We start from the raw sequence: 27,142 nt of genomic DNA on the forward strand, positions 1-27,142 counted from the left end.
TTTTATACTTCTTCAAAATAGTATCTTTTATTTATATATACTTTTTTAAATGACAAATGTGGGTGACTTTAGACATCTCAGCTCCTTCCATGTACAGGTACCTGCCCTCCCTTGTAGAAGTTCTCCCCCATCTTCTGAAATTCCCAGCTGAGAAAGCTTAAGTTATCTGCACCAAACCATTCTGTGCATAATTTTTAAAGCAAATATATAGCGCCTCATTATGAGTCATTTGAGATGAGTTAGATATGCATAGTTCAGTTAGCAGTACAATTAACATTGGCTATTTCTCGAAGGGAGTTTCTTAGCAATCTTGAGGAATCCTAATGATGCTTGAGAGTTCTGTCTTTAACTTTGAAATAACCTATGAAAATAGAAAATATTCTGGTTAATTAAAAATGCCAACATAACTATAATGCTTTGAGAAAAAGTATATTATCAAGGTATCTTAAAACTTCAATTTTATCCAGGTTTTGCATACTCTCAAAACTGAAAAAGTTCTTTGGAGTAAAAACAATCAGTTATTCTGTGTCTAAAGGACACTAAATTTACATTCTTTTATAAAAACAGTAGTACATCTTTAACACTTGGGGACAGCAATTATAATACTAACATTAGTATTATTTCACAAAAATAAAACTGCCCTTTATTACAAAGGTGTATTTCTTTTTTATTTTTTTGAGACGGAGTTTCGCTCTTATTGCCCAGGCTGGGGTACAATGGCGTGATCTCGGCCCACCATAACCTCCACCTCCCAGGTTCAAGCGATTCTCCTGCCTCAGCCTCCCGAGTAGCTGGGATTACAGGCATGCAACACCACACCCGGCTAATTTTGTATTTTTAGTAGAGACGGAGTTTCTCCATGTTGGTAAGGCTGGTCTCGAACTCCCGACCTCAGGTGATCCACCCACCTCAGCCTCCCAAAGTGCTGGGATTACAGGTGTGAGCCACTGCGCCCAGCACAAAGGTGTATTTCTGATTGACTACTTGTTAAGTTCTTTAGAACAATGTATTTATCAGCAGAACTAATCAGCTAAAGACAAATTACTTAACATTTTTATGAATTAAAAATACCAGTGCTATGTGTTAACTTTTACCTAATCAAAATATGATTTTGAATACATGAATTCTTTTGGGAAAGAAGACTTCATAGTAAGTTGATACTGTCTTAAAACTTTGATAATTTGGGGTGCTCTAACTTAGATGGTGTTCATACTTGTACTACTCTTCTTGCTCATGAGACTACTGAGAAGATTCTGTGGTCCCTGGATACCTAACAATGGCCTTTTTTCACTTTATTCTCTCACTCAACATCCATTTAGAGCTTCAATATGTATCCAATTTTCTGACTGAATTATTTTGATCTAGTCAGTTGCTTAAGTTGAAAAAAAATTTCTGGGCATCTTAAGCTTTATATCAATCAGGGACTACCTAGTACTAAATTTTATGTTGAGAGTTTGCAAGATTAGCAAAAAATGATTTTACATAAGGAAAATTTTAAATGTTATATAGTTTGTTACTTCAGACATAGTATCTATAGCCCACAACATTTTTTGTGATGTACATGATTTTACTGTATTTTATGTACTTTAAGATGTGTTTTCTATAAAAAAAATTGAAGTTATCTTCTGGTTTCATGGGGACTAATTAGCTTGAGATGCCATCTAGTTTCAAACATTTGCTTAAAAACCTGAAGTTCCTTTGTAAGGTGGCTATAACCTGCTTTCCTGTTGTCTTTCTTGTTATTTTCATGCATCTTTTTTTTGAGCCTCATGAAATACATGTACTTTCTTTTAACCTACTCTACTACATTGCTGGTAAGGTTGTTCATTCTGCCTTCTATCTTCTATCATCTCTTCTCTAAAGTCTGCTAATATCCTCACATGGAGCTTCTACTGAACTTCTATCTCAAACCTGTCTTTTATGTGTTATAGTCATTCCATATATGTTATACCTTGTATGATAGTTATTTTGTTACATATAGCTATGTTTGATTTTATATTTTTTCTTTTTTTTTTTTTGAGACGGAGTCTCACTCTGTCGCCCAGGCTGGAATGCAGTGGCACGATCTCGGCTCACTGCAAGCTCCACCTGCCGGGTTCACGCCATTCTCCTGCCTCAGCCTCCCGAGTAGCTGGGACTACAGGCGCCCGCCACCACGCCCGGCTAATTTTTGTATTTTTAGTAGAGACGGGGTTTCACTGTGTTAGCCAGGATGGACTTGATCTCCTGACCTCGTGATCCACCCACCTTGGCCTCCCAAAGTGCTGGGATTACAGGCTTGATCCACCACGCCCGGCCGATTTTATATTTTTTCAAAACATTTATCTCAATATGTCCCAAATGGCAAGTGCATAAAGCGTTTGTCAAGTGAAGTTTTTTCTTGAGCACTTGTATGTGTCACTAGCGTTAACTACAGAATGCTGTGTGTATTTCAGTGGCCTCCAATACTATGACATCTGTATTAAGCCATGTATGCATCTCATTAGGAGTATTAGAACCAGTGTCTTTCCTATGAATTCAATTTCAGTAATATAGTATCACTGCAATTAACTGGAAGGATAGTACATTCACATTTTATGTAAAATAAAATAACCACCCCCCAAACTCTAATACTACTTTGACAGAAGCTCTAAATTGCTATGATACCAAATAGAAGCTAAACTATGCAATTAATACAAAATCACTAATGTATGAGATGCTATTATAAGTGAGGTAATGTAGGTGAAATGAATAGTCCTTCTTAGCTGCAATAATTAGCCAATTTAAGTTTTCCAAGCCTACTATGTCTTGCTGATACTATATATAGGTTTGAAAGAACAGGTTTTGGAAATACGTTTTGTCTTTTTTTCCTTTTTTGAGATGGAGTTTCACTCTTGTCACCCAGGCTGGAGTGCAAAGGTGTGATCTCGGCTCACTGCAACCTCTGCCTCCCAGGTTCAAGCAACTCTCCTGTCTCAGCCTCCCAAGTAGCTGGTATTACAGGCGCCCACCACCACGCCCAGCTAATTTTTGTATTTTTAGTAGAGAAGGGGTTTTGCCGTGTTGGTCAGGCTGGTCTCGAACTCCTGACCTCAGGTGATCCGCCCGCCTCAGCCTCCCAAAGTGCTGGGATTAAGTGCTGGGATTACAGGCGTGAGCCACTGCGCCCGGTCAGAAATACATTTTGAATGGTAGCTTAACTCATATGGGTTTTATTATAATAAGCTAATATAGATGACGATGGTGACCGTTTTTTGCATATTTTATCTACTCTTTGTAGCACTTTGGTGACAATTTTGTGGCATAAGTAAGGAAAATTGATTCTGACCTAGCAAAATTCACATTTTCTGAATTAACAAAAACTGATCTATGTCACTGAACCACGATTCCCCTAGATATTAGGGTAAATGTATGTAATTTAAACTGTTGTCTACAGGAATACTATTCTCTGTGGGCTAGTTGGTAAAGTTGGTAAAGATATGGAGCTTTTTTCTATCCTTTTAACCTTTAACCTCTGGCAAGCCACCTATCGCTACTCTGCCCAACTCATCTAATAAACAGACAGTAAAATTAGAATTTTCCTCACCACACCCACCCTCTGATAGATGGAACTTTGTGTGTGGGAAGGGGGCAGTATTTCAGGTTTTCTATGTGTCCTCTTCTATCCAGAGAATAAACCTGAGAAAGTTCTATGATGCTGTTAGAACTTTGGAACAGGGAGAAAGAGAAGAATAAGTGATTATTCTTTTGAAAAATCTGAATTTTATCTTCCGTTTAGTAATTTTGAATTTATTGAAATCTCTTTCTTTTTATAATACATTATCAAAACATTATCCTGAATCAAGTTCTAGCTTCTTTTACCCTAATTTTAAAACCAGTAAACCTTTGGACACCAGAATTTAAAATTGATTCCGTAATTGTTTTCCTTCTTAAATTGTATCTTCTAAGTATATATGGCTTTAATAAAATGAAGTGTTTTAAGTTGATGAGAAAATTTTGATTTTGGATTGTTAATATGTTACAAAGTATATTTGTTTTAAATTTTTTAATGAAAATAGTTTTTATAAGAATGTACAGATAGGCTGGGCGTGTTGGCTCGTGTGTAATCTCAGCACTTTGGAAAGCCAAGGTAGGCAGATCGCTTGAGCCCAGGATTTTAAGACCATCCTGGGCAACATGGCAAAACTCTGTCTCTACAAAAAATATAAAAATTAGCCAGGCATGATGGCACATGCCTGTAGTTTCAGCTACTTGGGCGGCCGAGGCAGGAGGATTGCCTAAAAGCCTAGGAGGTTGAGGTTGCAGTGAACTGTGATTGCACCACTGCACTCCAGCCTGGGCAACAGAGCGAGACCCGGTCTTAAAAAAAAAAAAGAATGTACAGGTATTTGACTTGCACCTATAAAATTAATGTGTGTTTATTTTCCAATTTTAGGGCACTAAATTCAAAGAACTACAAGACTTCTTCAGTACCATCCTATTAGCAACTGGAAGACAAGTAGCTTTCTAGATCTTAACTATGAGTAATTCACTATCAAGAGCTAATTATTTGAAAAAATATAAGATGTTATGGAGCAGATAGCTCAAGCAGTTAAAAGAAATTCTGCAACTCTAATTCTCTTCCTTATTTTAATACTACTAGTTAATAAATAGTATTTGCTAATAACACGTGGTTGTTGATTTATGTTTTTAGATCTATGCTTCTGAGCAGAATATGTTTACACATTTTATAAAATCCCGGAGTGCAATCTGTCATTTGCTTTTACTGCTAATGTTAAAAAATTGCAGCGTTGGAGGGGAGGAGCGGAAGAGACTGCTGGAAGGGTAGAAAGTATACAATAAATTCTTGCTGTTTCTTCTCAGAAGTATTGAAAATTGGATTGATAGCTATCCAAGTGTCATAGCCTACTAAAGCATTCTTAACATCAAAGATAAATGTTAGATCCATTTATATTATTACGTAGATACAATATATACACATGATATAGTGAGGCAAATGCTTCAGCTTATATGATAACATGCCCTGTATTTGTGACTTATGTAAAGCATCAGGTTATTTAGCCAATGGCAGCCCCAAGATGAGTTTGAGGGGTTGAGGGGAATGTACTTGTTAGTTGAGTATCTTATAAAAATTCTGAAGTTGGAAGATGGATAGATGGATGAAGTCAGTCTTTCGTGTCCTCCCATGTTCCTCTCTAGCTGTCAAGCTGCTTCTCCTGGGGCATCCCACCTAGGCCTTACCCGCTAGTCCCCAAGTTATCTCTTCTCCTTCACCTGCCCTATCTCTTTTAAAAATATCTGCTCTAAGCCAGGCACGGTGGCTCACGCCTGAAATCCCAGCACTTTGGGAGGCTGAGTCGGGTGGATCACAAGGTTAGGAGTTCGAGACCAGCCTGCCCAACATAGTGAAACCCTGTCTCTACTAACAATACAAAAATTATCTGGGCATGGTGGCGTGTGCCTGTCATCCCAGCTCGGGAGGCTGAGGAAAGAGAATCGCTTGAACCTGGAAGGCAGAGGTTGCAGTGAGCTGAGATCATGCCACTGCACTCCAGCCTGGGCGACAGAGTGAGACTCTGTCTAAAAAAAAAAAAAAAAATCTGCTCTTAAAAGACATGATTTAAATATCTTACTGTAATTCATAGTGAGGTATTGATAGCCCTCATTCACCAGGGGCAGGGGCTGGTGGGGTTTGTATTTTAAAAGGGAAATGTAAAATATCTAAATATCAAATAATACATTGGAAGTTATTTTTGATAATGGTGTGATATGGTTTTGCTGTGTCCCCACCCAAATCTCATCTTGAGTTGTAGCTCCCATAATTCCCACATATTGTGGGAGGGACCTGGTAGGAGTTAATTCAATCATGGAGGCAGCTTCCCCCATACTGTTCTCGTGGTAGTGAATAAGTCTCCCGAGATCTGATGATTTTATAAGGGGTTTCCCTCTCGCTTGATTCTGATTCTCTCTTTTCTGCCACCATGCAAGATGTGCCTTTCACCTTCCATGATGATTGTGAGGCCTCCACAGCCACGTGGAACTGTGAGTCCATTAAACCTCTTTTTCTTTATAAATTATCCAGTCTTGGGTATGTCTTTATCAGCATTGTGAAAATGGACAAATACGTGGTGCTTTGCTAGAACTTGTCCTTCTGCCGGTCCAGGCTGCCTAGAGCTGGAAATGAGTTTGTAGAAGGCTACAGGACTCTTCTTTTGGGCCTCCCCACTTTTTTTAAGTGGAGGGAACTATGTCAAGCCAGACATATAGCTGGCTTTTGAAGGAGGAGTGCAGATGGTACAGATAATTTTTACAATTAAGGTTTTAAAGGAATTTTTCATGCCTGCTTCATAACTAACACTGTGCAATTAATATTGTAAACACATTACCAAGGGTATAATGTGAATCAAAGAGTAATATTGAATACATTTGTCTTCAGAATAGGAATGGCCTTACCAAGTACACATAGGTGAATAAAATCTACGGTTATATATCAATAATGTTACCAAAAAAGCCTTATAAATATTCTTAGGCTGGGCGTGGTGGCTCATGCCTGTAATCCCAATTCTTTTGAGATAAGAGTTTTATATTTTCAGAGTTTATCAAAATTTATTTTAGATTTCAAAATCATAATTGTTCATTTTAATCTGTCTTTATAGTTAATTTTTATTAATGTGCCTTTTTAAGACAACACACTTCATATCATATTCATAGATGGGAACACTAACCTAATGCCTTCCTGAAGGGTTTAAGCAGTAGTGTGACAATTGACAGACCTTATCTGGATTTTATATAAATGTATTGTGTCGGTTTACAGAAAACCAAATATGGAAACCAGTAATGGGAATAGTGAAATATGTAAAACAATTAAGATTTTTCTAAGTGTCAGTAGAGGAAATCATACACACACATTCGATCTGACAGGTGCAAACTAGTTATGATGCCCATGGATTGTTTTCTTACAATTGTTGTCTCTTCTTTTAACTTTGAAAATGTAACAATACAAAACAGTTTTATTCCTCAGACTCAGCCATGACACTGGCGTCCTCTATTGACAACTTACACATCTAGTTATCTACTCTCCTGTTATGATGCCTGTATGACTTGGGTAGTTTTCTGCATCCATCGTCAATGAGTAATGGAAGAAATAAGCTTGCTCAGCCAGACATCAGTCTCTGCTACAAACTGTCTGCTTACATCTGTTCAAGGCTCAAATCTGAAACAATGATTGTGGATGTTGACATAACATGGAAGAAAGGCTTAACTTTAAGGGAAACTTAGATCAATAAGAAGCTCTGATAAGAACTGGAGAGAAAGTTAAGCAGTAGCACCTCAAGAAAGTTAAGCAGTAGTACAATCATAGTTTTTGAAATCTTATCCTGCTTCTTCAGAGACTGCCTGCTCCTTTTGTATATAAATGTGGAACATGCATTAAGAATAATAAGCCAAGTTCAAGGCCGGGCTCGGTGGCTCATGCCTGTAATCCCAACACTTTGGGAGGCCAAGATGGGTGAATTACTTGAGGTCAGGAGTTCGAGACCAGCTTGATCAACATGGTGAAATACTGTCTTTACCAAAAATACAAAAATTAACCAGGCATGGTGGTGGGCAACTGTAATCGCAGCTACTGGGGAAGCTGAGGCAGGAGAATTGCTTGAGCCTGTGAGGCGGAGGTTGCAGTGAGCCAAGACTGCACCACTGTACTCCAGCCTGGACGGCAGAGTGAGACTCAAAAAAAAAAAAAAAAAAAAAAAGCCAGGTTCAACCTATTACTATTATAGCTGTCTATACTAGAGCAAAATTAATTTCTTAAGACTCTTTCATTATCTGTCATTTGTATTATCTACCTGGAAGAATTATTATGAACACCAAATTTAAAATATTTTATAAGCTGTAAAATAAATAAAAAATATATATCGGTCTATTAAGGCTGGGTACAGTGGCCCATGCCTGTAGTACCAGCATTTTGGGAAGCCAAGGCAGGAGGATCACCAGGACCCAGGAGTTTGAGGCCAGACTGGGCCACATGGTGAGACCCTGTCTCTAAAAACAAACAAACTAAAACAAAACAAAACAAAACAAAAACAACCACTAGATCATTATCCATCAAATAATTTGTTGTAAATAAGTTGTAAGGTAATTTGTTAATTTGAATTTTCATCAGTTATAACTTAATTTTCCAAAAGTGAGTTAGTAGCATTATAGTAGCATTACATAACACTTATATAATGCGATGTGCCAGATACCATTCCATGTGCATTCCATATTAATATGTTTTCAATTATGAATCACTTAATCTACATCTAACAATGAAATGGAGTTAGAGAAAGATTAACTAATTTGTCCAAGTTAGCACAACTAGCAGTGGCAAAGCACACAGTCTTGCTTTTTTTTTTTTTTTTTTTCCCGAGACAGGGTCTTGCTCTGTCGCCTAGGCTGGAGTGCAGTGGTGCGATCATGGCTCACTGCAGCCTCAACCTCCCAGGCTCAAGCAATCCTGCCACAGCCTCCTAAGTAGCTGGGACCAGAGGCATATGCCACCACACCTGGCTAATTTTTCAAATTTTCTGTGGAGACAAGGTCTCCCTATGCTGCCCACACTCATCTCCAACTCCTAGGCTCAAACGATCCTCCCACCTCAGCCTTCTCGTTGCTATTTTTTTTTTTTTTTTTGAGACGGAGTTTCGCTCTTGTTGCACAGGCTGGAGTGCAATGGTGTGATCTCGGCTCACTGCAACCTCTGCCTCCTGGGTTCACGCGATTATCCTGCCTCAGTCTCCTGAGTAGCTGGGATTACAGGCGCCTGCCAACCAAGCCCAGCTAATTAATTTTGTATTTTTAGTAGAGATGGGGTTTCACCATGTTGGTCAGGCTGGTCTTGAACTCCTGACATCAGGTAATCCACCCGCCTCGGCCTCCCAAAGTGCTGGGATTACAGGCATGAGCCACCACGGCCAGCCTCTGGCTGCATTTAACAGTTACATTAGTCACTCTACAGCCTTTACCAAAATTAGAGAGCAGGGTAAGGTGGAGGTTAGTTACTTGTAGGAAATCAACTGTAGAACGCACGTTACTTTACAAGAAAAAAGACTTGAGAAGACCTGTTTCCAGTTTATTCCTCCTCACACCTTATCAAGGGGGCAGGCTATAAGCCTATGGGAGATAGCTAGAAAAACATATATTATCCTCCCTCCCCCAATATTATATATATTTCCAAAAATCTTCATAAAGCAATTTGAAATCATTACACTACTGTTAGAAAGTGACCTAAAATTGTCGGGCGTGGTGGCTCACGCCTGTAATCCCAGCACTTTGGGAGGCTGAGGCGGGAGGATCACTTAAGGTCAGGAGTTCGAGATCAGCCTGGCCAACATAGTGAAACCTCATCTCTACTAAAAATACAGAAATAAGCTGGGCATGGTGGCACATGCCTGTAGTCCCAGCTACTCAGGAGGCTGAAGCAGGAGAATCACTTGAACCTGGGAGGCGGAGGTTGCAGTGAGCTGAGATCAGGCCACTGCACTCCAGCCTGGGCCACAGAGCAAGACTCCATCTCAAAAAAATAAAAAAGAAAGAAAGTGACCTAAAATGTCATCTTGTCTAAGCTTTGCTGTTGTTGTTAACAGATGGGGTCTCATTCTGTCACCCAGGCTGGAGTGCAGTGGCACAATTATAGCTCACTGCAGCCTCAAACTCCTGGGGTCAAGCGATCCTCCTACCTCAGCCTCCTGAGTAGCTGGGACTACAGGTATGTACCACCCCACCCAGCTAATTTTGTCTAAACTTCTTGATACTTAAAACTCTTTATAATGTTCGTACAAGGTGAATGCCCAGCCTCTGCCTAATATTCTAGTGTAATGGCAGCCTGTTCATTCATCATTCACTTAACAGATGTTGAGTGTCTGCTATATTCCAGGCATGGTTCTGGACACTGGGATTCAGCAGTAAACAAAATAGACAAAGGTAGGTTAAAAGTAAAAGGATGCACCTAACTTTTTAGTTATATTGTTTGTTTTATATTGTCAATGTTTTTTTAACACTAACACTCTATTTTGTAACCATAATTCAAACAGTTCTTTAATCTTAATTTTGTATTTAAATGGATATAGTGCTCACCATTAGTTATTTTCTTAATACTTTAGTTCTTTGATTTATATTTGATTTTCAGGATTTAGTAATCCATTTTCATGGTATATATTTATTATTTAACTATTCAGAGTTTCTCCTACTGATTCATCATTACAAAATAAATATAAAAGGATGCAAAAAGATATACTATGCAAATACCAATCTAAAGACAACTAGAGGGGCTATATCAATATCAGAGACTTTAGAACAAGGAATACCCCTAGGGATAATGAAGGTTATTTCATAATAATAAAGGTATCAGTTTACCAACTGGACATAATAGTGCTAAATGTGTATGCATACATAAAAGAGCTTTGGCCAGGCGCGGTGGCTTATGCCTGTAATCCCAGCACTTTGGGAGGCCGAGGCAGGTGGATCACCTGAGGTCAGGAGTTTGACTGAGTCTGGCCAACATGGTGAAACCCCGTCTTTACTAAAAATACAAAAATTAGCCGGGCATGGTAGTAGGCGCCTGTAATCTCAGCTACTCGGGAGGCTGAGGCAGGAGAATTGCTGGAACCCAGGAGGTGGAGGTTGCAGTGAGCTGAGATTGTTCCATTGCACTCCAGCCCGGGCTGACAACAGTGAGACTCCATCTCAAAAAAAAAATATTAATAATAAAAATTAAAAGAGCTTTAAAACACACTAAACAAATTTATAGAATGAACAAATCAACTTCTCTGTTCCTCTATCAGTAACTGTTAGAACAAGCAGACACAAGATCAGTACAGATATAGATTTGCTCAAACCTGTCAACCACGTTTACTCAGTTGACATTTATAGAACACTCCAGTTCACCTGAAACATCAACCAAGACAGACCTTATTCTGGGCAATAAAACAAGTCTCAATAAATTAAAAAAGATTATGTTCTCTGATCAAAACAGAATTAAATTAGAAATCAATAAAAGAAAAATAACTGAAAATCTCCAAACATTTAGAAATCAAGCAACTCACTTCCAATCCATTGGGTCAAAGAATAAATCACAAGTGAAAAAGAAAGTATTTTGAACTGAATGAAAATGAAAACATACCAGACTCTGTGATGCTATTAATGCAGGTACGAAACTAGGGAAGGAGCCAAGTAGCACCAGACGACCCAAAGGAATGAAATTACTAAATAGGAACAGAAATCAATGGAAGAAAAAAACAAAGCAGCAAGAAAAATCAATGAAATAATAAGCTGATTTTTTGAAAAGAAAAATAAAATTGGTAAAACTCTAGCAAGAATAATAAAGAAAAAAGAATCCCCAAATTACCAATGTCAGAAATTAAAGAGGGGACATCGCTACAAGTCCTTTGAACGTTAAAATGCTAATAAGGAATATTATGAACAACTTTGTGACAATACATTTGAGAACTTACATGAAATGTACAAATTCCTCAGAACATACAAAATTGTCAACTCTAACTCAAGAAATAGAAAATCTGAGTAGTTCTATATTAATAGAAATCATTTAGCAATGTAAAACCTTCCCATTTAGAAAAATCCAGGCCCTCTGGTGAATATTTACATATTATATATTTTACAAATATGTATGAGTATTACATATTTAAATATTTAAGGAAGGAATAATATTAATAATACCAATCCTACACAAATTCAGAAAATAGAGGAGGGGAAACACTTCCCAACAGGATTTTCCTGATGCCAAAGCCAGACAAAGACATTACAAGAAAATAATACAGACCAACATCCTTCTGAATACAGAAGCAGAAATCCTTAACAAAATATTACCAAATTGAATCCAGGAATGTATATTAAAAGAATAATACAACATCACCCAGTGGAGTTTATCCCAGGAATTCAAGGTTAGTGTTTCAAAATTAACATAATTTACCATATTAACAGATTAAAGGAGAAAAACCAGGATCACCTCCAATAAATGTAGAAAAAGCTTTGGACAGAATTCAACAAGGAATATTTGAATAGCAGTCTTGGAAGACAGAGTGTCTCTGGAGCACAGAACAGGTGTGCTTGCAACCTTGGAAGCTAGAGATTGTGTTTCCTCTGGAGCCAGGGCAGGCATGTGTATTGTTTCCACCTACAGGAAAGGGCAGGCATCTTACTATCCGTTATAATACTCGGGTTTCTAAGCTCACTCTCTCCTGTAATGCAATCCACTGTGTGATCCTCTTTACACTGCCTGTAGAAACTGGGGCTTGGACAACCAATGCAAACATGCTGATTCCCTGGCTCCTGCTATTGTAACAAACTCTCCTTAATCTCTCGCTCAGGAGTCTTGTGACTTCCACTAGAACCCACAAAACTGTGGCAGGCTAAAATATGAGCTTACTAGTTGGGTAAAATCTCAGATTCGCCACCGTTCTTGACAGTATAAAATATATACTTAATTCCAATTTCTAATTTTAAAAACTAGTCTAATCAATTACCAGGTTAATGTAATCACATAATTTAAAATTATTTTGTGGGGGGAAAAAGTACTTGGACAAAGGTTTTGAAACATTGATTTTAGCAGTTTATTTATATATCTTGGATGGAAGCAAATGATACAGTTTACTTGGAATTCCTAGGGAAAAAAAAAAGAATTCTTTTAAGGTGGGAGTGCTACTTATACTTTAAAATAATAATTAACTCCCTCTTGCTCACTGCCAAACTTGGTTTGTACACATACAATGCACATAATATAAACAAAATAATATATATTTTATCTAGAAAAAATTCCTAAATAATTTCACTGTATAATAAATTGGATACAAATTTTACAAAACAAAATTGTATTCATTTTAAAGTTTCCTCCTTATTTCTGTACTCTGTAGTGCCCAATAGGCTAAAAGAATCTTAAACACATCTCTACTAATCTACCAGGACTTGCGTACCTTTCAAATCCGAAGCCAAAGGCCTACTCTGAGGACTAGAAGTATCTTCGTGAGTATAGTTGTCAAAATGGAATTTCTCTCTTCTTGAAATGTAAGTTGTTTTTGAAGGGTCATTATGCTGATTACAAATTTTATCACTTAAACTTAAATATTCTCGTTGAAGATGCCGCATCTCAAATTCCAAGGTATCCCTTTCATTTTCTATGCTTCTTACGTAATTTTCTAAAAGTATTTTGTCTTCAGTAAGTCTACTGATGCTGTTTTCAAATTTTATATTTTCTTGACTATGTTTCTTTAGTTCTTCTTTTAGAATCTGATTATCTGTTTTGGTTTCCATTACCATTTTTGATAACATTTCACATTCCTTGCCAATTTCTGACAAGCTATTCTTATAAATACTTGCTTCTGATTTTGCATTTTTTATTTCTTGCAGAAAATTCTCTTCGGCAGTAGATTGGTAGGTTTGAATATTCTCAATTTCTCTTTCCATAATTTGTCTGGCAGCAGTAGATTCTTGTAATGTTGTTTCAAGGTTGAGTTTTTCATCTTTAACTGTTTCTATTATTTGAAGAAGTGTCTCTTGTTCCGTTTTTGCCAATCTTTCTTTCTCTTTTAGCTGGATTATCTCTAGCTGGCTTTCTTTTAGTTCATTTCCAAGTGAGCTTTTTTCTTTTAGAAGCTGGTGTGTTTTTTTCTCTAACATTTCTTTTTCATCTTGTATCAACAGAATATTGGTTTTCATTGCTTCCATTTCTATACTCATTCGATTATTTTCATTATTTACAATGGCCATATCACTTTGAGTTTTGTGTTCCTTACTTTTTAGTTGATCTAATGCTTCCATCATTTGTTGCTTCTCTAAAGAAAGTTGTATATTTTTTTCCTCTAGAGTTTTATTTTGGCCTTGCAGAACATTATATTTACTAATTATTTTTTTAAATTCTTTAAGACACTCTTTGCTGTATTCTTCTGTTTTACTTAACTTAGACTGAATAGTACTCTTTTCTTCAACCAGATTCTTAAGTTGCTTTTCATATGTTTCAACTTTCTGTATGAGAGATTGTGTGGTAAAGATAAGAGGTTTCATTTTGGACTTAAGGTTTAGATTTTCACTCTCCAGTTCCATTACTTTTTTCTGTATCTGCACAGATTCTTTTAGGTAATTCTGTAAGTACTGAATTTTTGCAACACACTGCTCAGTAACGGAATTAACTTTGGAAGTTTTCTCATTTTCAGATATTATTGATCCTTGTTTTACTAGAAATGGTTGTCTTTCTTTGTCTTTCATTTCATGTTTTGTTTGGTCGAGGAAGGACAGTGTGTATCTTGGAACTCTGGAATGGAATTTTAAATCTGTAATATTTTTGCCAGTGATGGGAATTTCTTTATTGTTTTTCTCATTTTTCTTTCCCCTGTGCATTTCACTCTTAGATAACTTTTTACATTTTCTACAAAAATGCACATGGAATTTTGACACAGTTTCCCTGAAGGGGAGTAATTTCTTCACTAATGCCTCTAATTCTGAAATTCTCTTTGATTTTATATCTTCATTTAAGTTACCGTCCAAGTTTTCTTCCTTAATAAAGTTCATTTTATCCTGGTGAATAGGGGACATGTCATATTTACCATTCCTGTGAACATCTGGATCAGTTTGTAAAGTCTGAAGTTCATTTGTAAGTGCCACTTCCCCATCATGTGACTTTTGAAGCTCTTCTTTCATTTGTTTGATAGAATGGCAAATGTCATCTAAATTTTCACAAAATCCATGCTTGAGAAAAGGCACAGTAATTTTGGATTTATCCAGAATTACTGTATCAGCTTGAGACATCACATTTGGAGGTGCAGTAGGTAGAAAACGATAAAAGTTATTATAATTCTTCAAGATGTCAGAATTTTCTGAAGGGTGTATAATTATGTTTGAAGATAAATTGTCTGTTGAAGTTCTCAGAGTTAATGTGTCCTCGGAATGTATCTGGGATGGAACATTTACACTTTGAGGGAGACTGTTCACACTATCACCACTTAATTTTTCTTCCACTGAATGAAGTGTCTTGGAATCCTCAAAATGATGACTTTTCTCCATAGAAAGGTTTTCTTCTTGATTCTCTGTAGGCTGTAACAATAAGAAGTACACTATAAATGTATTGTCATTTGCCACATGATAAAGCAGTACAGATAATATTTTGTGGAGGGTTTATTTATGTACCCTAAACAAGCATTTTATCCATTTCTACAGCAAAGGAGCATAACAAGTATGATTTATTTTCTCCAACAGTTATTTTGAGATCTGTAACTCTGGTCCTCACAATTTGCTTAGAACTTGCTCTTATTTCCTTTGGGGTGAGATACATGGGCCAACCCCTCAATTTCAGAAATATAGAAATTTAGCGTCCTTCAAGAGGCTGTCATAGGTAGGTGGGAAAGATGGAACCGATAGGTCAAATGGGAGTTTCAGGCAAATGAATGTTTCCAATTCTGGGCTATTTGTTAACCTTAGCTTGCACTCATTTCAGATGATTTTAGGACTGTGACTATCCTGGAAGTGTGAGTTCGAGTCAGTGTGGACACAGTGATGGTAACTTTGGTTTGGAGCTTTTCTAGGGAATTTACCCCAGACCTAGGTCAATCCTAAGTGAATAGATTGGCTATAAAAACTGCCTTGCATTTGAATTTACTCGGGAATCTTTCACGATCTGGACTAAGTCAAATGTCCCTCACAGACTCTTAAGAGAAATGGGAAAACTGCAAAAGTACAGAGGTAAATACACATCTTTTAAGGTTTTCAGGACCGGAGTTTCCTTATTTTCATCTCTGATGGTCCATTTTTCCTGTAACAAAGAGGACCATGTAAAGTGAAATGAACTGATGGTAGTCACGTTTTGAAGTACCTACATATAGAAATGATTTCTGTAGAATAACATACCAAATCCTTTTCAATGCGCGTGCCAAACACCAGATTTTTTTCTGAGCTAAATTGTGGGTTTTCTACTTCAATAATACTTTTGTTCAATATTTCACTGATTTCCGACTGTACCTTTAAAAGATAAATTGAGAAAAATTTGATTTCAGATTTGTAAACTTATGAATGTACAGGAATAATAGACATTATAATTAAAAGGTGTGTTTAAATTTCCTGCCCATAAACAGTCTTTCCCATCTTATAGAATATAAATGAAAGCTACTTAATTTATTGTAATCTCTATCGTTAATCTTTAAGAAAATTATGCCTTGTTATAATCAGAAGCAATTTAGTAAAACAAAGTTTTATGAACTATATTCAAATGATTTTAGGTGTCTGATTTTTACATTGTTGAATAAGAGACCTTTGGAATCTATTCTGTCCCCCTTAGGAGGAGTTATCTTCCCTTCCTATTTCCCTGCAGGTGCTTTTAGTATAAGAATATTGGGATGAAGTTTACACTGGGTCTTTAGTGAATATGTGTGTGTTACATACCCCCAATATCTATACTCTAGACTTCTGTTTATACTTCTCCTTATTTCTTCTGGATGAAGCGTGGTTATGGTAGTATTGATTCTGCCTCTAACTCCCAGGGGCACCTGACTGAGTGCTAACTAGTCAGGGAACAGCGGCCACCTGACAGTGATTGGTTCAAGCATTGCATGTGACCCAGTCGGGATCCATCTGAATCAGGCCAAGAGCCTCAGTCTAAACTATTGTGAGCAAAGTGTAGCCGGGTGCGGTGGCTCACGCCTGTAATCCCAGCATTTTGGGAGACTGAGGTGGGCAGATCACCTAAGGTCGGGAGTTTAAGACCAGCCTGGCTAATGTGGCGAAACCTGGTCTCTACTAAAAATACAAAAATTAACCAGGCATGGTGGTGGGCACCTGTAATCCCAGCTACTCAGGAGGCTGAGGCAGGAGAATTGCTTGAACCCAGGAGGCAGAAGTCGCAGGGAGCCAAGATCATGCCACCACACTCCAGCCTGGGTGACAAAAATGAAACTCCTTCTCAAAGCAAAGTGTACTCTCTTCTCTGACTTGAATTTGGAAGGAGAAAGAACTGGACCTTCTAGCAGATCTTCTGCCACCACAGGGAGTCTGAGAATCCCCTACTGTGGAAAGCAGAATCAGGATACAGAGTGAGACCTATTTTGACGACACAAGACCTGATCATGTGGACTCAGCCATCCTGAAGTGAGCTCTCTCCAGGACTTTCATTTACTTGAGCTATTAAAGTGTATTTTTTCCCTAAGCCAGTTTGAATTAGACTTCATGTCACCTATAATGAGGGTCCCTATTTGTAGTCTATATATAGACTTTAAACGTGTATTGAAAAAATCAGCGAGTGCTATCTCTTTGGGCTTGTTTCCAAATACAAGTATAACAGAGAGAAGAATGTAGTTTCTTTAAAATAAATTTTGAGCCTAGAATATGCTGTGGCCTCTATTATATTAAATTCTGTGTCAGCTAATCCATTGGCTAGTGACCATCAGCTTAGAAGATGGGATGATACTTCAAGGTGAGATATTTCATATATAGATCAAAAGAAACATACCATGCTGACATTCTGCAAAGTCTGCATTCGCAAAGCCTGAAATGATTCCAACTGCTGCTGAAGGACCTATGACAAAAGTAAAGTATGAAATTGAGTATTTTTAGGTAGGTAAACGTATTCTTGAATTGTTATGATTTTATGTCTCCCAAAGTTGCCTATTACTTGAAAAGATCCCGTGAGGGTCAGGTGGTTCACATTCTTAGGCATTTTGCTAACTCCCCAATGTGCTTTCATGGAGATCCTTGTGAGGATAAAGTGAGAGAACCCGTTTGCATTTAGGGAGTATTTATTCTGAAAAAGATCAGCCTTTACCCAGAATTTTGGAGATGATAAAATGGAATATAGACTCACTTTCAATGCTGATTGTGGTTGGATTTGATTTTCTGATTCTGCTATGCAGCCATATTCTAAGAAGCAAAATTGAAAAACCATGTGACTTAATTCTTAAATTTTATTTTTTAAAACCTGTAATAGAAAGCAGTCTCCTAACTTGCTTGGATAGTGAGGCAGAGATAATGAGAACTTCTGATATTCACACTATGCTAGTCACATAAGCTTAAGTGATAATTCTCGCTTGACTTAATATATCCACTTGAGGTTGTAATAGTGTCTTCACTTTTAGAGTACACCGTTAATTTGCAACACCACACTTAGAACTCTCAAAAACTCAAATATCAAATATCTTTGTTTCTGGGATATAAACTGCATTCAAAAAAAACCTAATAATGCTCATATTATGGGAGACCCTTGGCAAAGTAGTATACAGGCCTCAATTTCTGTGAAATTTCCATGTGACATTTTTCCCCTTATGGAAACCAAGTTGGATCAACAGCATAATTTTTGTCCTGGCTTAAGCACAGTACGCACTTGTGGCTTCCCTTGGGAAGGGCAGTTTCACATTCACAGTCTTTAGATCCCCTCTTGGCCATGTATGAATGGGCCTGGGCCTGGAACACTTCTTTACCAAGGGGACTCTTTTTAAAGTCCTCGTTCACAGCCTGTGCTGGACTTGCTACCATGTGTGGGGATAGCACTCCCCGCTTCAGACTCAGTGTGTACTCCTTTGTTCTGCTTAAGTGTGTGTGTCATATGATACCTGGCCAACCCTGCTACTCTGTCCCCTGCTAGATTATAGATGGGCCAGAAGGGGCCCTCTGGCCATGGGGAACCAACACCCACTACTGAGGCTGATCTTGCTCCGTCTCTTCATTCTGTGAGTAAAGGGTTGTTGCATCCGGTGCTTGACTGTTGTGTTTTGCTTGGCGACTCCGATACTAAGATACAGTAGACAGAAGTACTCCAGCTTCTTTTGATAATAGGCAGAATGTCACTTGCTTGATACCGTCCTGGATAGATTATAGATCTGCAACAGGGGGAGACTCTATCATGTTTGCAAATGCCCTTATATCCCTCTTTGTCTGCATGTTAGGCTGCTTGCTTTGTAAACTTTTTATTAAAGAGTGTATTCATAAAAGCTTTCAGTGTCCTAAGTAAAATGAGAGCTATGATGGAACGTTCCCCTAGGCTGATAATTTCTGCCCTAAGTTTTAAAAGAGGTCAGCGAATCTCCTTTGGATTGGCAGGCTGTCAGATGTTAGAGAAGCCGCTTGCAAAGTACAGGCACCCCTTCTGCTCTCTGACCCTCACCACCAAAGGGGCAACGCTGGTTTGGAGCCTGGAGCTGCCTGGCTATTGAAGAATCCCACCTTCAGTCAGAGGGTGGGGAGGGAGAGCGAGTCTGTCTGGATCTTGCTTAGCTTTGCCTCCACCTTCAGTCAGAGGGCGGATCTTGCTGTCTGGATCTTGCTTAGCTTTGCCTCTTCTTGGGAATAAAATGGCAGCTAAACTCCTGGTATCCTGAACTGTTCATCTAAAAAATAAGGAACTGAAGGAAGGCCCAGACCAGCATAGGAAGGAAACACAACGTTTTTCAGACTCTAAAGTAACCTCTTCTAATGAACTTAACTAGACCAAAGTGCAAATCGGGAAGAATATACCACCTAGAATCCTGCCACCCACAACGAACTGTTGTTAATTTTAGGTGCCATCTTTCGGTCAGCTCTCTATGCACATAAGTGGATGAAGTGGAATCATTTTATACATAAATGGTATTTTACATAAATATTGCCTATATTTACTTGAATTTAAGAGAATTTTTAAAACTGCAAGTAGTGGAAATTATTTCTAGTATTTGGATTTTTTTTTACTACATGAGAGATATTATTTCCTAAGAGATCCCTGTAAACTAATGAAAATTAACATGAAAAGAATTAAAGATTGAAACCTTTATTGTTTCAATAACATACAGTTCTATTGTATTCATTGTTGACTTACTCCCTGCCAAGAGAGATGAGAAAATTAGCATTCTATTTCCTTCCATGCCTACTTCCCTCTTTTCATGGTATTTGCTAGTTATGTGATTTATACACTGTGAAGGTTTATGTTTACATTCTGTTCTGTAACTGTAATTTCCACACAGCTCTTTATTTAAACACGAAGATAGGATATCATTCTCATAAATGTATTCAGCCTTCAACTCTATTCTGAGTGATGTAACTGTTCAAAATTCTATCTCCTTCCCATACCTACAGGAATAGCTTCCTTTTTCTGTACAGATTTCCTTTCATTAGGAGGATTTGCAAGTTCAAAGCTAAATATAAGATTCCTTTAGCTAAAACCAAATAAGAAATATGAGACCAAAAGAAATGTACAGACTTAATAAAGGGATACAGTAAATCAAAGATTTCAAAGAAAGCAATGGGATTTATACATGTTGTCTACATATATTTTCCATCTTCCATCTCTTCTTCCTTTTTTGGCCTCACCGTGATTGCACTGTTACTAAGCAGCTTAGTGGACCCATGGGAGCACAAGATGAGGACACGTCGGAGCAGGAGACAGGGGCTAGGTTATGCAGAGCCTCCAGGCCAAGCTGAGCGGGTTGGCTTTTCCTTCAAGTGAAACGGGGAACTTTGGAAGGTTTCCATCATGAGAATGATTTGATCTGACTGAAAAGTTTACAGGTCACTCTGCTACATGATAATAGAGTATGGGGTGGGGTGAGAAGGCAATTGCAGGGCTACCGCAATAATCTAAGTGGAGATGAAGATATCTTGGACTAGAATGGTGGTGGGGGAGGTGGGGAAAGCAGGTAGATTCAGAATATACTTTGGAGATGAAGCCAGCAGCATTGCTGGAGGATTCGTTGGGGCCAGGAGAGATGAATGAATGATGGCTCCTTGTTTTTTGGTGAGAGCAGATGGATGAGGGATGATGTCATTTACTGGGGGAAAACAGTAGAGTAGGAACATACTTTAGGAGAAAAACATTTTTAGATATGTTAAGGCTAGGTTGTCTGTTAAACATCAAAGAAGAGATATCCAATAGTCAGGTGGGTCTACCAGTGTATGATTCATGGGAGCAGCAATGAACACATCATTCAACATGGATGGGCCGGGTGCAGTGGCTCGCACCTGTAATCCCAGCACTTTGGGAGGCCTAGGCGGGCAGATCACGAGGTCAGGAGATCGAGACCATCCTGGCTAACATGGTGAAACCCTGTCTCTACTAAAAATACAAAAAATTTGCTGGGTGTGGTGGCATGTGCCTGTAATCCCAGCTACTCGGGAGGCTGAGGCAGGAGAATCGTTTGAACGTGGGAGGTGGAGGTTGCAGTGAGCCGAGATTGTGCCACTGCACTCCAGCCTGGGAGACAAGAGCGAAACTCCATCTAAAATAAATAAATAAACAAACAAACATAGATGTCACTGCTGGCCATGCAGAAGGACATGCATAGAAGCCCGAACGAAGTGCTTGAGGAGAGAATGGAATGTGGAGATTGGTGGGCATGGAGGATAGGTCACTGTTTCTAGTTTCACTGTGGAAGGGAAGACAGTGCATCCTGGAAGAGATGTGAAAGTCAAGAGGGATTTTTTTTCTTTTTTTGAGATGGAGTCTCACTCTGTTGCCCAGGCTGGAGTGCAGTGGCATGATCTTGGCTCACTGCAGCCTCCACCTCCAAGGCTCAAGCGATCCTCCCATGTCAGCCTCCGGAGTAGCTGGGACCACAGGTGTGTGCCACCACATCTGGCTAAGAGAAGGAATTTTTTTTTTTTTAAACCACAGGACATTCTAACATGCTTGTTTGCTGCTGGAATCACATAGTAGAAAGGGAGAAAAGCAATAATTCCGGACAATGAGGGAGGCTAATTGCAGAAGCTGGGACTTGAGAATTCCACAAGAGATGAGATCCAGAGGAAATCACTTTTGATTGATCAAGGACAATTCTTCCGTTGAAATGGGAGAAGACCTAGAATATGGGTTTCACAAATGTGAAGGGTGAGAATGAAGGAGTTTGGGTCTGAGTGCTTCTACTTTTTTCATATAGAGTGGGACCATGTTATGAGTGGAGCGGCCAGGGAGAAACGTGTTCAAGATTTGAGAACAGGAGGAGTGAAATAGCTTTTTTGCAGAGGATTTGAAGAAGAATTTTCTGTGGAAATAAAGTAAGTTTTCCCAATAGCATTGAGAGTGCATTTTAGATTCATGGTATGACTCAAAAGTGAGTGTTTTTCTCCAGCAAAGTTCAGATGATTCTGCACAGGCAGAGAGTAGGCAGGGAGTCGGATTCATCTATTTTTAAAAGCTATTAACATAACTTTCTGTTTTTCTTATGAGTTTCAGAGACATCGGCTGCTACTTATTCCCAAAGGAAAGGTAATTTAAAAACTAGGCAATACTTAGTCACACAGAATTACGTGATTCTAGAATTGGAAGGGAAATTATCAAAGAACCCAGGAGATAAAACACAATCACACTTCACCATTTACCAAGTCCCTGCTAAACATACAATATCGGGAGGCACATAAACAAAGCGGAAGGCATGGTCCCACCCACCAAGATGAGAGTTTATTGGGAATGTAAGAATATTACTCATCTCATATTCAACTTAAATTTTCCAGCTGCTTCATATTTCTGTCAAAAGTGAAAAACAAGGTAGTTATCAATGGGATGACTTTTGAGGTAATTTTTATTCTGAGCCTGCAAAAAATATTGTATTCAATGTATACAAAAAGTACCAACTGCATACCTGTAGCAAACAGACCAAGAGGAACCAATACATTCTGAAAATGCAACAGGGTAACGATTCTATATAAGATGTCAGGCTCTCTGCAAGCTTTGTAATTCTTAGTTTCTTCTCATTGCAACCTCTGCCTCCCGGGTTCAAGTGATTCTCCTGCCTCAGCTTCCTGAGTAGCTGGGACTACAGGCATGTGCCAGCACACCCGGCTAATTTTTGTATTTTTAGTAGAGACGGGGTTTCACCATGTTGGCCAGGCTGGTCTCAAACTCCTGACCTCAGGTGATCCTCCTGCCTCGGTCTCCCAAAATGCTGGGATTACAGGCGTGAGCCACCATGCCTGGCCGCAGGTTCTAATACTGAGTTCTGCTGTGACAATTCAAGTTCATTCCTAGATGTCCCTGTCTTACAAAGCTTTGTGAGGTGTGGCACCCTCTGCATGAGGCTTTGTCACAGTCATTATGCAAGGAGCTATGCAACAGGTTGCCTGCCGCCCAGATTTGAATTCTAGCTTTGCCACACACTCGCAGTGAGGGGATAACTCTAGGCGAGTGTCCAGTTTGTAGATAAAGCCCTTACTGAGGTGTACGAGGTGTACGGCACATAGTGAATGCTCAAGAGACACTAACTCATTACTGCAGAGGCAATATGATGATAATTTGGTAAATTCAAAATTTCTAGTCAAGACGGAGGGGAGAGAAGCCTTCTCAAAATTCTCCAGTGCTTCTCAATTTTCTCAGAATAAATCCCAAATTCATCCATGGAACTACAAAGCCCTGTCCTGGTTCCTCCCGCCTACCCTTCCCTACTTGTTCTGCTCCATTTACAAGAGCAACCGTTCCTCAATCACACCAGCCACGCTCCCACCACAGGGTCTTTGCAGTTGCCATTCTCTCTGCCTGCGGTGCTCTTTCCCTAGAAATCTGCACAGATTGCTTCTTTACTTCCTTCTGGTCTTGGCTCAGACGTGACCTGCTGAGTGAGCCCTTCTCCTACCACCCTGTTTAAAATGACACACTTCCCACCCACCTCTGCCACTCCAAATATTCCTCCCCCCCTTCTCAGCCTTATGTTCTCCATAGAATTTATTCCCCGCTTACACACAATAGCCTTTGTCTGTCTGTTCCCTCACTAGAAGGTAAGCTCCATGTGGGCAGGGAATCTTGCAAGTCTTGTTCACTGTTGGATCCCCAGCACCTAGAACAGCACTTGAAACTTAGCAGGTGCTCAAAAGAATATGCTCCACAAACGAATGAATGAATGAAAGCTCGGGTACAACAGGGTGCTGGGAACAACACCCTGGACACCCTCAAATTCAAAAGTCTCTCACAAACCCATTCCAATAAGGGTTAATTAGGTTAACCACTAGTTCTGAAATCAGAGACACCTTGGGAACATTCTATAACTCTTTGTAACCTGGCAGTAGTTATGCAAATCAGGTCATTATTTTCTCAGTACACGGGGAATGGATCACTTGGTGACAATGAAAGCATCAGTAGGAGAGTAGAGAGAAGGGCGCCAGCCATACCTCCTAGTTTTGCCTATAGTTGCAGGCAGGAAATTCCTGGGTGGCCCCTGACTCAAGATAACTGGTGTTTATTAAGAACCTGTCCTGTGTCAACCCCAGACCTGTAAACACTGTGTTCTGGCAAGAAAGACTGTAACTCTTAAACATGTACATGTGCTATTTTGCATGTAACTATTTTCTATAAATGTTGGCATCTTTCTCCAGAACCCTAAGCCTCATTCATGTCAAAAAACATGTGATCTTGCCAAATTAAGGTACTTCTATTTCTTCTGACCTTACATGCTCTCTTTGAGGTAAATACGGAGCTACCTCAATGTCTCAACTCTCTGTGAGGACTCTTTCTCCTTCGTTCAGGGGGCCCCTTTGCCCCTCCTGGTTGCCCAGGGAAACCTGCATATCTCAAGGGTGGAGGCAGGAGGGCGGAGAGGGGACTGGCCAGTGCCTGTCCTGCTGGCCTCCACTGGGGTGTTGCTCATCCTGGTAGTGCCTGGGCACCCGGGTGTCTTCTGTCTACTGAGGTGTGGCTGCTCTAGTCTCTTCTTTCCGGGCCCTGACAAGGCTTTTTGTGAAGATCTTGCATGGTGGAGGTGCAGAAATCCTGTCCCAACCTCAGTCCTCTTGTGGTTCAGCACTTTGGCATCAGGATTGCCCATATCCTACAGAGGGGCAACTGGGGGTCCGGGCATGGCACATCAGTCTAGACCCTTCTCCTGCCCCGTGCTCTGCTCCTTCCCCGGCATGTCCCCTCACAGCAGGCTCCTCTGAGAGGCGTGTAGTCAGTCGCCTGGGACTCCACCTTCAATGTCCTCAGATTCCCCTAGCTGGGTACCCCCATCTTATTCATAATTTATGTGGTGCTTGAAAGCTTTAGCTATGTGGCTATTTCAAACATCCTCCCCATATAATATCCTGTAGTCCGTAAATATTTACTATAAAAAGTAGTTTTCTTTAGAAAAGGTATACACCCCTCCCTGGATATCCACAGGGGATTGGTTCCAGAGCCTCTGCGGATAGCAAAATCTGCAGATGCCCAAGTCCCTAATACAAAATGGGGTAGTATTTGCATAGCTTCTATGTGTATCCTGCTGTATACTTTAAATCATCTCTCGATTACTTGTAATACCTTATACAATGTAAATGCTATGTAAATGGCTGTTATACTGTTCAAAATTTGCATTTAAAAATTGTGGTACTGTTATTTTTAAAAATTTTCCCCCCTGAATATTTTCCATCTGTGGTTGGTTGAATCCAAGGATGCGGAACTCCCAGATACCGAGGGCTGACTGCATATCGTTTTAGTGTGTGTCCAAAAAACTCAACAATTCTTACTTAGCATTCAGAGAAGCAACGGAGCGTAGCGTGGTGGTGAAGACAGGCAGTCCGGAGCCGCCCTGCTGAATGCCCGCTCCATTCCTCGCTGCCTGTGTGACCTTAGGGAGTTAACCTCTCTGTGCCCGTTTCCTTATCTGCAAAATGGGGATCGTGGTAGCACCCACCTCGTAAAAGTGTTGTGAGAATTAAACAGTTGATCCATTACGTGCTTAGAACAGCACTGGCACAAAGCGCGAGTGCCGTGGTGGCTGCTGTCCGTGTCATCACGGCCGTGGGAAGCACGCCAGGTGAGCAGGTGGCACAGGCCAGATGCTGCCGCCTGTGTATAGTTAAAGGAGCCTTTTACGGTCTGGCGATTTTACCTGTGTCACTGCAGCCACTTTCCTTCACCCCCTCCGAAGAATTTAGGATCTTGGACGCTGAAAGGAGAACGGAGTCAACTTCATCCTCTTCCCGGTGCTGCTTTTCTGTAACAGAACCGTCCGGGGCTGTTCTGTCGCGGGTCGTGGCGTGGCGGGGCTGAAGGTGGGGGCGGGGCAGAGGGATGGGGCGGGGCAGGGCTAACGGCTGGGGCGGGGCGGAGGGAATTAGGAGGGGGCGGGGCTGAAGGCTGGGGCGGGGGGGCGGGGAGGGCGGGGAGGGCGGGGCGGAGGGAATTAGGAGGGGGCGGGTTTGAAGGCTGGGGCGGGGCGCAGGGATGGGATGGGGCGGAGAGACTGGGCGGGACCTGTGGGGGCAGAGGAATGGGGCGGGGTCAAGGCTGAAGGCTGGGGCGGGGCGGAGGGATGGGGCGGAGGGACGGCATCAGGCCGGGCCTGGGGCGGGGCGCGGCGCTTTCCGCAAGCGGCCACCCGAGGGCGCGCTGGGCGGGCGGCGGCGGCAGACCACGTAGCCAGCCTGTAAGCCACAGCGGACGCAGGGGGCCGCAGCGGGTGCTCAGCCCTAGGGCCGAGCGGGAGATGTGCGGCGAGTGCAGAAGGGCGGACCCGGGATGTCCCGGGTTTTCGAGCGGGGAGCCGCCTGCTGAATGCCCTTCTGCTGCCCTCCGTTCCCGCGGCTCCCCTAGGAGCCCCGCCCCGTCCAACTCTTACCCGGGCTCATCGCCGCGGCTCATCTCTCTCGCAACCGCCGCCGCACGCACCCGCTCCGCCGCCCCGCGCAGGGCATCCTGTCGCCAGGTAACCGGGTGGCCGGGGCGCCGGCCCCACCCCCACCCTCGGCGGCGCGCGCTCGGCTGGGGTCCCTGGTGGGGTCCCGGTGGGTCCCTCCTCACTCCGGACGCTTCCCCGAGAGCTTCCCTGGGAACCTGGCCTGGGACAGCCCACCTGGGCGCCTCCCCGCACACGCGCGCGGCTGTCCGGGACGGGCTTGCTCACACTCGGACTCGCTGCGGTACCCGCCGGACCAAAGCGGTGCGGAGAAAGGGACCGCCCGGGGACGGACACACGCCTGAGAGCTTTCCCTTTGCCTTTCCACATCTCCACTTCATCGCTGTTGTTTTTTTTTTTTAATTCTTAGTCCTCTCATTTCAGCGCATCCCTCAGAGGAGTTTCAGCATTTGGGGATTTGAACGGCCCATGACCAATATTGTGAAAGGACTTTTGTTTGCTGCAATGAAAAGAAGACTCCTATTTTTCAATAATGAATTAACCTAAACATGTATTAAAATATGCTCATGAAAGCTGTGGGAAGCGACGGTGGGCTTCCTTTGTCTAAGCATGTTAATTTTTACGCACCTGGT

At 40.8% G+C, this 27,142-nt stretch overlaps 2 protein-coding genes and 1 long non-coding RNA gene across 19 annotated transcripts in view, besides 2 other annotated features; 2 read left to right on the forward strand and 1 right to left on the reverse strand.

Annotated features, from left to right (window-relative positions):
* The window catches only part of CFAP96 (cilia and flagella associated protein 96), a 41,393-nt gene extending 36,748 nt beyond the window's left edge, over nucleotides 1–4,645 (forward strand). For all 10 annotated transcript variants that reach the window (XM_017008239.2, XM_017008238.2, XM_017008240.2 and 7 more), the window contains one exon: nucleotides 4,415–4,645. In XM_017008239.2, the coding sequence (XP_016863728.1) occupies nucleotides 4,415–4,463 (49 nt within the window). In that variant the 3' untranslated portion in view covers nucleotides 4,464–4,645. The remainder of the gene's footprint in view (nucleotides 1–4,414) is intronic.
* CCDC110 (coiled-coil domain containing 110) lies at nucleotides 1–26,552 on the reverse strand. 8 transcript variants are annotated; one of them, XR_002959722.2, is made up of 9 exons: nucleotides 26,493–26,552; nucleotides 25,764–25,868; nucleotides 17,813–17,868; nucleotides 17,462–17,527; nucleotides 15,868–15,978; nucleotides 12,945–15,057; nucleotides 11,138–11,219; nucleotides 7,040–7,192; nucleotides 1–361 (listed from the first exon to the last, which is right to left on the reverse strand). XR_002959722.2 is itself a non-coding variant. In XM_006714172.3 (8 exons), the coding sequence occupies exons 1-7, from the start codon at nucleotides 26,500–26,502 to the stop codon at nucleotides 11,155–11,157; spliced, it is 2,526 nt and encodes an 841-aa protein (XP_006714235.1). In that variant the 5' UTR covers nucleotides 26,503–26,552; the 3' UTR covers nucleotides 1–361; nucleotides 11,138–11,154. The 8 variants fall into 8 exon arrangements, 6 of the variants coding, with proteins under 6 accessions (XP_006714235.1, NP_689988.1, NP_001138883.1 ...); XR_427540.4 differs by lacking the exon at nucleotides 11,138–11,219; XM_006714172.3 differs by lacking the exon at nucleotides 7,040–7,192.
* Nucleotides 11,974–12,268: a silencer, noted in NCBI's record as "tiled region #8879; HepG2 Repressive non-DNase unmatched - State 13:Ctcf". NCBI's record gives its function as "represses a minimal TATA promoter and a strong SV40 promoter by Sharpr-MPRA in HepG2 cells {active_cell/tissue: HepG2}" and the evidence as "EXISTENCE:reporter gene assay evidence [ECO:0000049][PMID:27701403]".
* Nucleotides 26,137–26,766: a silencer, noted in NCBI's record as "silent region_15856". NCBI's record gives its function as "represses an Ori minimal core promoter by ATAC-STARR-seq in GM12878 lymphoblastoid cells {active_cell/tissue: GM12878}" and the evidence as "EXISTENCE:reporter gene assay evidence [ECO:0000049][PMID:35858748]".
* Nucleotides 26,250–27,082, forward strand: LOC105377590 (uncharacterized). Its single transcript, NR_133944.1, has 2 exons — nucleotides 26,250–26,579; nucleotides 26,934–27,082. It is a non-coding gene; the product is annotated as an uncharacterized LOC105377590 (long non-coding RNA).
* Nucleotides 27,083–27,142: the final 60 nt, after the last annotated feature.

The sequence above is a fragment of the Homo sapiens genome, chromosome 4, assembly GCF_000001405.40.
Source record: "Homo sapiens chromosome 4, GRCh38.p14 Primary Assembly".
Classification (NCBI taxonomy): Eukaryota; Metazoa; Chordata; class Mammalia; order Primates; family Hominidae; genus Homo; species Homo sapiens.